The 10,579-nt window shown below is 43.3% G+C and overlaps 1 annotated feature.

Moving 5' to 3' along the window:
* Window positions 9,845–10,139: a silencer, noted in NCBI's record as "tiled region #15457; HepG2 Repressive non-DNase unmatched - State 13:Ctcf". NCBI's record gives its function as "represses a minimal TATA promoter and a strong SV40 promoter by Sharpr-MPRA in HepG2 cells {active_cell/tissue: HepG2}" and the evidence as "EXISTENCE:reporter gene assay evidence [ECO:0000049][PMID:27701403]".

The raw sequence follows: 10,579 nt of genomic DNA, 5'->3' as shown, positions 1-10,579 counted from the left end.
TGATATACCTGGGGACTTGGGGGCTCTCATGTCCTGCTCATCTCTGCCTAGCTACCTAACAATCCCAGAACTTTGGGAGGTTGAGTCCGCAGGATCACTTGAGCCCAGGAGTTCAAGACCAGTCTGGGCAACATAATGAGACCCCATCTCTACAAAACAGTTTAAAAATTAGCTGGGCATGGTGGCATGTACCTGTGGTCCCAGCTATTTGGCAGGCTGAGGTAGGAGGATCGCTTGAGCCTGGGAGGTGGAGGCTACAGTGAGCCTGATTGCACGACTGCACTCCAGCCTGGGTGACAGAATGAGACCCTGTCTCAGGGGGGAAAAAAAGTCAGGGAGTGGCACCCTGTGGTGGTGGAACTGATGTTAGCTTCTAAATTACACAATCTGGAAACTGCTATAGGGCTGAGAAGGAACTTCCCCTTGCCTCTCACATACCTGGGGAGGCAAAGGATTGCCTTGTTCCTCCACACATGGTGCATGGTAAAGCCCCAGCATTGAGAATTATCCAGAAACCCTGGGTAGCTCTTGGGTTTCCTGAATCCATTCTAGGCTTTCAGGTAAATGTGTTGTTTAAGAAAAAACTTGCAGCTGGGCATAGTGGCTCACACCTCTAATCCCAGCATTTTGGGAGGCCGAGTCAGGAAGATCACTGGAGCCCAGGAGTTTGAGACCAGTCTGGGAAACATAGTGAGACCCATTTCTACAAAAATATTTAAAAATTAACCAGGCATGGTGGTGTGTGCCTGTAGTCCCAGCTACTTGGGAGGCTGAGGTGGGAGAATCGCTTGAGCCTGGGAGATTGAGGCTGTAGTGAGCTGTGACTGTGCCTCTACACTCCAGCCTGGGTGATAGAATGAGACCTTGTCTCAAAAAAAAAAAAAAAAAAAAAAAGAAAGAAAAAAAGAAAAGAAAAGAAAAAACCTTGCATTCAAGCTTGCTTTCACCCAACCATTGGAGGAAAACAAGTGAAAACAAAAGGCAGGATTCTCAACTAATCTTTGTTTTCATTCCTTTTTCTTGGTGCCACAATTTTCTTGAAAGATTAGACACCTTCTTGAAGCATAGGTCAGAATATCCTCCTTTCTTCCAGGGGTCTTATACTTCAGGCTTAGATATTCTATAACAACCATCCCAGTGACGATGGTGGCAAAAGCACAACAGAAGCAGCAGTCACTGTTTTAGTGGACTGTGTTTTCCGGGCACTGGGTTAATCATTTTGCCTGCATTACCTCAGGCAATGCCACTATGTGATAGATATTTTTATATATCCACTTTACAGATGAATAACCAATGCAGAGAGATGAGGAAATTTACCAAAGCCATACAACTAGTAAGTGACAGAGGTGTAAAATGAACCCAGGCGTGTCTGACTCTTAACTCCTCTAAACTACCTAGTCTTCTCTATTTCTCCTGAACTCTGATGATTCTATAGCATATACTCTAAGATTGATATTGATGATTTTACATTTCTTCAAATATTTGAGTTGACTGAACAAATTTATGAGCACAGTGATGTACAATGATAAAAAAAATGTATCACAACTTGAAAAAATATGTCCTTGGATTTTTCTAACTAAAAAAATATTCATCAGGCATGGTGGCTCACGCCTATAATCTCAGCACTGTGGGAGGCCAAGGCAGGCAGATCACTTGAGCTCAGGGGTTCGAGACCACCCTGGGCACCATAGTGAGACCTTATCTCTATAAATAATTTAAAAATTAGCTGGGCCTGGTGGTGTGCTCCTGTAGTCTCAGCCATTCGTGAGAGGATCGCTTAGCCCAGGAGGTTTCAGGCTGCAGTAAGCAGTGATCATGCCATTGTACTTCAGCCTGAGTGACATAGCAAGACCCTGTCTAAAAAAAAGAAAAAAAAGAAAAAAAGAAAAAATTCAGCCAGCCAATCCAATCCACAGACAAAAACCTCTCAGGGGTCAGGCACAGTGGCTCATGCCTGTAATCCCAGGACTTTGGGAGGCCGAGGTGGGTGGATCACCTGAGGTCAGGAGTTTGAGACCAGCCTGGCCAACATGGCGAAACCCCATCTGTACTAAAAATACAAAAACTATCTGGGCTTGGTGGTGGGCACCTGTAATCCCAGCTATTCAGGAGGTTGAGGCAGGAGAATCGCTTGAACCCAGGAGGCGGAGGTTGCAGTGAGCCAAGATTGTGCCACTGCACTCCAGCCTGGGCGACAGAGCAAGACTCTGTCTCAAAAACAAAAACCAAAACCAAAACCAAAAAGCCTCTCAGGTTGGTTTTTGTCCTAAGCAGAACTACATTCCACATATTGCTGGAGCTGAAGGTTCTCAGATGTGTGAGTCATCTGGCGAATCATTTTTTACCTCCAGTGTGCAATCCATTCCTAAATTCCTTATCAGTTAGAGATTAAAGCATGAGCTTTGAAAGTCTTAAAAATTATTTACTATATGTTTCACTGGCTGATCAGATGCATATTTTTCCTAGCAATGGTTCTGACCAACCACTGCTTCAAATGTGTTAAATTTCCAGTGAGGTTGTTTATCCTCCTACTTCTACAAGTTCATTTCTTCTAAGCTCTGTCTCCTACCAAATGCCTTGGGTTTTTTGTTTGTTTGTTTTGTCCTTTTCTCATGTTTAATGATCCTTCACTGCCAATGTGTGTAAATCATGGGTAATGATAAGCCTGGAAGGTGAAGGAAAGATGTTCTTGTTTTTACCCTGGTATGGTTGTTCCAACACTGATTTGGGGTCAGCCCTCGCACCTACACCCCCTTGCTGTGAGAATACCTGATTTTTTGGTTGAAATAATAAAATCTGCTGAGTTATGGGCATTAGATGCCAGTGGGAAAGATTAAGCTCATTCTCTACCTAAACATCTTATTAATCAAGGGAGAGACAATTCAGCCAGAAGGACATGTTGGTACCCATAAGCCCATGGAGCCAGCTATTACTTCCAGTCTTGGGAATCATAAATACCTCCAGGTTGCTGACACTCCCGACTCATCTTTGTCTCCTTGAAATTGGTATCCTGGTTCCAGATACCTGCTGCCATTCATGACTGACTCAGAATTCTCACAGGATCCAATCACAAAATTTGCCCTTAGGCAGAGCCATAGCCAACAGTTGTGGCACTTGGGGCAAAAAGTACAAAACCTTCCTGAAGTTAGTTTTGTAATTTTAGGCTGGGCACAGTAGCTCATGCCTGTCATCCCACCACTTTGGGAGGCCAAGGCAGGAAAACTCCTTGAGCCCAGGAGTTTGTGACCAGACTGGGCAACATAGTGAGACTGTGTCTCTGTCTATATATTTAAAATATAATTAAAAATAAAAATAGACTTTATAATTTTAAGTAATCATTCTTACTGATTAAGTGCTGACATTTATAAAATCACTATTTAAGGTGGTGTGGTTGCTACCTTTTGGGGGCCTGGGACAAAGTTTTTGCACCCCACCAGTACTGGGTGTCCCTGTGCTGGTCTCTGATATGCAGCTTCAGTCTCCTTTAGGAACCAGGATTGGTTACCCCCACACCCCAGAAGTGCTGTCTTCGGTAGCCCTCTGCTGTCAGTCCCTTCAGAGCAACCTCAGCTGAGGAAAGCTGTGTTGCCCGGGACGGTGCTCCCATCCTAACAAGGTGCACATCTGACTAATGGACCCCAGGGTATAAAGGCCTCCTCTCTTGCTCCAACTTGGGACTACTTTGAAGGTCTCCCGTAGCTCTAGAGCTCCCGTGGTTGTGGTGGTGGGTGTCAACTGAGGATGCCAGTGGGAGGGCATTGCAACCTGACTTCTTCCTTTGCTTCATCCTGCTTCCATGATCTCTAAGACACTCATTAATAAACATCCAAACAACCCAGTTACAACAGCCCCCAAGCACCAAGCTCTTCCCTCATACATGAGAGAGTAGCACTGCTGAATGAAGCCAAGCAGACTATCAGTCCAGTGATTAGAATCAGGAAAAATGTACACCAGTGATGAAATGACATGGGTGGCTTTAACTGCCCAGCAATCACTCCCTTCTTCTGGTAACAAAACCCATGTATTCTTTAGGGAATCACCCACTGCCCTTCCCATGCATGTGCTCTAGATGGGTTGATTTTACCCCAGGCTCCAGGGATGGGCATGTCACCCAGGGCTCTGTGTAGAGCATCTATCCACTTTCTCTGGCCACAGTGATTGACTCTGGAATGGACATGAGAGCCAAGGTGGCCTAATGCGACTCAATTCCAGGACTTTGCTTTCAGTGTGGAAGATGACTCACGTGTTCACACCATGCTGGAGGAGGTGAGCCTGGAGTTGCTGGGTGGTTCAAGGAAAGCCTGCCTGACACTAAAGATGGAAGAAAGCAGTGGGGTGCAGTGGTTCACACCTGTAATCTTAGCACTTTGGGAAGCTGAGGTGGATGGATCACTTGAGCCCAGGAGTTCAAGATCAACCTGGGCAACTTGGCAAAACCCCATCTCTACAAAAAATACAAAAATTTGCCAGGCATGATGCCTCATGCCTGTAGTTGCAGCTACTCAGGAAGCTGAGGTGGGAGGAACACTTGAGTCTGGGAAGTTGAAGCTGCAGTTTGTCAAGATCATGCCACTGCACTCTAGCCTGGGTAACAGAGTGACACCCCATCTCAAAATAAATAAATAATTAAGTAAAAATAAATAAAATAAAATATTTTCTAGAGATGGAGTCTTGCTATATCATCCAGGCTGGTCTCCAGGCAATCCTCCAGCCTTAGCCTCCAAAAGTGCTGGGGTTATAGGGGTGAGCCACCAAGGCTGGCCATTTCAGTCTTTTATTATGGGTGTGTTAGGACTAAGGAAACAGGATCTCTCCAACCTTCTCCCTGTCTCCTTTTCATCTGCTCCCAGGCAAGATTCTAATCATTCCCTGCCTTTCTGATTGTGGGTCATAAGACACCCCACCCCCATGCCCTGGGGGAAGGAATGCTGACATCATGAAGCTTCCATAAAAACCCAACAGGACTGGGTTCAGCAAGTAACTCCATGGTGGATCTCACGGAGGTCCCTGGATGGTGGTGTGTCTAGGGAGGGCATGGAAGCTCTGCACCCCTTCCCCCATACCTCACACTATGCATCTCTTCATCTGTATCCTTCATAGTAAACTGGTAAATGTGTTTGCCTGAGGTCTGTGAGCTGCTCCAGCAAATTAATAGAACCCAAAGAGGGGGTCATGGGACCCCCAACTTGAAGTGGGTTGATCAGAAGTTCCAGAGACACTTCTTGGTGCAGTCTCGAGAACCGAGCCCTAAACCTGTGGGATCTGACACTACCTCCAGGAATTGAATTGGGGGACACCCAGCTGATATCCACTGCTTGGTCGTGGGAAAAACTCCTCACTCATTTGGTTACAGAAGTCTTCTGCTGTGTTGATGACTGTTGTGCTTTGAAAGCAGAGGAAAAACGTGGTTTGAGAGAGTTCTTCCCTAAACAGCAGAGAATACAAAATATATAAATTTCATAGCTTCTTGTACCATTCAAACAACCACGAAGATGGGTAACATGATAGTAAAACACAAAGAAGTTATCCTTCTTGAAAATTGAGCTTAATGCAGTCTCTGTGTCCTCCTTCACATGCAACTATCTTTACCAAGATTTGCCCTTCCTTTTTGCCAATTAGTTTAAATTCTCAACTCCATTCTCTACTCTGCCCAAGGTCACTCAAGGTCACTCTTTTTTTTTGAGATGGAGTCTCACTCTGTTGCCCAGGCTAGAGTGCAGTGGCACGATCTCAGCTCACTGCAACCTCTGCCTCCCAGGTTCAGGGGATTCTCTTGCTTCAGCCTCCCCAGTAGCTGGGATTACAGGTACATGGCACCACACCTGGTTAATTTTTTAAAAATATTTTTAATATTTTTCACAGAGATCGGGTTTCATCATTTTGGACAGGCTGGTCTCAAACTCCTGACCTCAAGTGATCCACCTGCCTCAGCCTCCCAAAGTGCTGGGATTACAGGCGTGAGCCACCGCTTCTGGCCCCAAGGTCATTCCTAGAAAACTATTGTTAAAGTTTAAATGCTATATAATCAATTCCAACTGGACTGCTGTAAAATAATTCTATTTTTTCAAGATGTATAGTACAGCCTCTCAAATTTGTGTAACAAGGAAGAGAAACGCATATGTAGCATTAAAGCTTAGGTTTAAACATTTTTTATCCCTGGATTTTCTGGATGTTAGAACAAGTTGCACACAAAAAACTACTGTCTCTTAACAGATTTTTTTTTTTTTGAGACAGGGTCTCGCTCTGTCACCCAGGCTGGAGTGCAATGGTGCAATCGTGGCTCTCTGAAACCTCGACCTCCTAGGCTCAAGCGATCCCCCCACCTCAGCCTCCCAAGTAGCTGAGACCACAGACAGGCACCACCATGCCCGGCTAATGTTTACAAAATTTTCTGTAGAGACACAGTCTCACCATGTTGCCCAGGCTAGACTGGAACTCCTGGGTTCAAGTGATTCTTCTGCACTGGCCTCCCAGAGTGTTGTGATTACAGGCGTAAGCCACTGTGCCCAGCCCCTTATAGATATTCACTGTTAAAATAACCATATATTTTTGTCTTTGTTATTAGTCAGGAATCTTGGTTGCAAGGAACAGAAATCAAACTCAAATTAGATTTAGGAAAAGAAGGAGGTAACTGAAAAAGGGGAGCTCAACCGAGATGTTGAACACGTAGTCTCTCTGCATCCCTCATCTCTGCTTTTCTCAGCATTGTCTCCATCTCAGACAGCCTCACCCTTGTAGGGGTGAGATGAATGGCTCATAATCACTTCACTTCAAGCTTATTTTGTATTTTCAGCAATCCTATGAAGTGGTTCAAGGGAAGGAAAGATGTTTTCTCCTCATTAATCCAATCGAAGTCTCAGAATTGAACTTCACGGCTTTAGTTGTACTCTATCCCTTCCTGTCTCAAACCCATTTAGTAACAGGGGACTATGATGCTCTGATTCTGTGTGGTCCAGGTTAGCCCCTCTCCTGAAATAGGAGGACGGAGTCAGCACACCTAAACCACATGAACTGAATTCAGATATTGTAATTCCCAAAGGACAGTTGGGAGTGCTACAACTGGAAGAAGGGGATTGAGAACTGGGCAGACCTCAAACAATGATGTTCAATATAGATTGCAAAATAAGAATTAGGAAAGTGAATCTTGACTTTTTATTTTTTTTTAATTTTTAAAATTTTGGGGAGAACAAGGTCTTACTCCATCACCCAGGATGGAGTGCAGTGACACAATTATAGCTTACTGCAGCCATGATCTCTGGAGCTCAAGTGATCCTGTCTCTTCAGCCTCCCAAAGTGCTGGGATTATAGGCATGAGCCACTGTGCCCAGCCGTCATGACTCCTTTTAAAGCTTATTTGTGTTAATAAAGCCTATTTTTATTCCACCTAGTACAAAACATATATTGATTGATTGGTTTTGGGAAAGAGGAAAAAAAGGTGAAACATAGAATAAAGCTAAGGGTAAAGTTGCTACTCAGAAATACAACAGAAATGGGTTGAAATTTGGTTCTGAGATTCATGGCAAGCAAAGTAAAGAGGAAAGCACCTTCAGTTAAAAGAGTCCTAGGGCTAAGATAAAAATGAAAACTAGATAAAATAAAATAAGATAAAAATGAAAACTTAGTCCTAGGGCTAAGATAAAAATGAAGAACTTACTTTGGAAGAGCACAATCTTTTTTTCTTCTTTCTTTTTCAAAGACGAGGAGAGATGGGGGAGGAAAGGGAGGAGGATGAGGAAGAGGGGATGAGAAGGTAAGAAGGAAGAAGAGGAGGTGAAGAAGGGGAGGAGAGGGGAGGAGGAGAAAGGAGGAGGAAGACAGGAGGAGTGGATAAGGAAGCAAAGAAGGGAGGAGGGAAGGAGGAAGAGAAAGAGGAGGAGAAAGCAGGAATAGAGAGAAGGTGAAGAGGAGGAGAGGAGGGGAGGAAGGAGGAGAGAAGAGGAGGAGGAGGAATAGGAGGCAAGGAGAAATAAAGAGACAAGAAGAGAGGAAGGGAGGAGGAAGAGGGGAGGGGGAGGAGAGAGGAGCAAGAAGAAAGGAGAAGGAGAGGAGGTAAGGAGAAAGAAGAGGAGGAGAGGGAAAGAGGAGGAATAGGAGGCAAGGGGAGATGAAGAGGAAGAGGTGGATGAGGAAGGGAAGAGAAAGAAGGGAAGGGGAATGAGAGACTAAGGAACACAATGCTTTTTGGCACTGAAGCCTGGGAGAAAAAAAACCCACCCTCATGCTTAGCATATCATATTACTATATGATATAATGGATGTCTTAGGTTGGATTTCCTGGAAGTGAAGTCTAAAATAGGGTTTCTTGCACAAATAATTGAGGGAGAGTTCTCAGGAGAAACCTGGAAGGAAGTGAGGAAAGAAGGATGAAGCAGAGGAAGAATCCCAGCAAAGATGTGGTTTCAGCTGACGACAACCTGGTCTCATGAGGACGGCTCTGAAGTCTGAAAGGCACCATGAAGTTGTCCTGTCTTGAGGCAAGAAGCCTGGGCTTTTGTGCCTTTATACACTGGAGTGGGGTCTGGTATATAATTTCCCAGACATCTCCAGATGACAAGGCTCCTGATAGTTGAGAACAGTTTTCTGGAGAAGAGTTATAGCTTTGAGCTGTTACAAGTTGATGTGCGTGGATGCTATGGATGGGCAGAAGTGGTGGGTGCATTAGCATGGTAAAGGGTTGTGGGTAGGGTACCACTAGTGTCTTCTAGAGTGAACAACATCCCATTGATATCCTCGACAAATGCACAGGGAGAATAACAGCTTATTGAAGGGTCTTTCTAGGCAAGGCAGGAGCATGGGACCAACACAACTCACCAAAAGCAATTCTATTAAGTGCCAAGACAATGTGGCAAAGTATAAGTCTCAGGGAAGACTTATTTTGACTCAGAGACATAAGTTAGAATATCTTAAAAATGGATGGACAGTTCATGCTTTAGATAAGCTTCCTTGAACACTAAATCTTACATCTAAGGTTTTAATAAGAAATGAGTCACCGAGAGTTTGTCAAGAACTTCAATTGCACGTATTCCACAATACAGACAGGGGTAAATCCATAGGCTTTGACGATAAATCCAAAGGTATTCATTTATCACGTCTGTGTCATTTACTTTGTACCAGGTACTAATCTAAGTGTTTTGCAAATATTAACCCTTTTAATCATCATAACTCTGTGGTGAATTTTACTATTATTCTCATTTTGTAGATGAGGAAATTGAGGCACAGAGTTTAAGTAAATAGCTCAAGGCATATGGTTAATAAATGGCTTAGGTCATTTACAAAATAAAATGAAATCTAATTATGACTGTTAAGATGCTCAATTAGGAGTAAAGTTAATTTAATTTTATATTTCTAGCTCAATTTCAAAGTGACCCATCAGAACCACGTGGAAGTACTCAGAGACTTCTAAGAACACTGAAGCCATAGCCTGCAAGAAATAGAATCAAGTTATCTGATTAATGCCTTTTGCTCACCTTTGTGATAACAATTTTTGTGATTGAAGTGATAGGAAACTCTCAAGTGAGTAATGGCAGGTCATAGATAAACTCAAATTACAATTAGAACAAATTTAGGAGAAATCTTTTTTGACTTACAGAGCCATATGAGAGCTTACTGAGAGTGATGGATCTTCTTTCTAGAAAAATGCACATAAAGATTCAAAAGTGACTCTTTTCCATATAGTTTCAGGGGATTCATGGACCCCTTGAAGCCTCTGGAACTTTTTAGAGTCCTTAAAATTAAAATCTTAGCCTTGTTGGTGACCTCAAAGATTTCTGAGACAAGACAAGATGTATATGACATTCCCCTTCACAAAAGCCCTGGGAAACTTGTATGTGTCTTTGGTGAACTCTTGATTTATTGAGCTGATGGAGCTGTTGGTAACACATGTGATGTTGGTCCTTTGCACATTCATTTCATTCTCCAGGGGAGTAGTTAATCACATGGTTTCCTATCCTTTCTTACTGTACTTTAAAGCCCCCTTGTGGCAAGGACAAAGCTTGCTCATCTTTGTAGACTCCACAAGTGCGTATTAGGATACCTCAAAGAGTAGGTGGTGAGGAATGGAAGCAGGACACTTTGATGCAGACATTTTCAAACGGAGAACATCTGAATGTATCAAAATTTGGCAGTGACTCTTTTCTTGACTAATACATAAACCAAACATTACTAGCTTTTACTCCCTCATCCCATTTTCAAGCCTTGCTTCATTCCCTAGGGAGCAAGTATCTGTTATGCACAACTCTTGATAAGTAAAAATACTCTAAAACTTAAATGCTTGATATCCATCAAAACACCTCATCAAGATCAACAGAAGAACATGTATTCTTTATATGTGAATTGACTGATTAACTCTAGGCATATTACCCATTCTATTTATGTAGATGTTCCAGTTTCCCTAATGGCCTTCCCAAGCTCAGACTGACTTAGTACCTCACATTTCCCACTCTGCAGGTACAACCTATCAGTACTTGTCATGACATGGTTAAACAGCAACACCAGGCAGTCATTTAAGTTTCAGTTGTCATTGGAGGAGGTGTTTACAAGCACAAGATACCAGTACTACTACTATTATAAATGTTTATTGA

This window comes from Homo sapiens, chromosome 8 (genome assembly GCF_000001405.40).
Source record: "Homo sapiens chromosome 8, GRCh38.p14 Primary Assembly".
In the NCBI taxonomy this organism is placed as follows: Eukaryota; Metazoa; Chordata; class Mammalia; order Primates; family Hominidae; genus Homo; species Homo sapiens.
The sequence above is the reverse complement of the archived record's forward strand: the minus strand, read 5'-3'. Positions and strand labels throughout refer to the sequence as shown.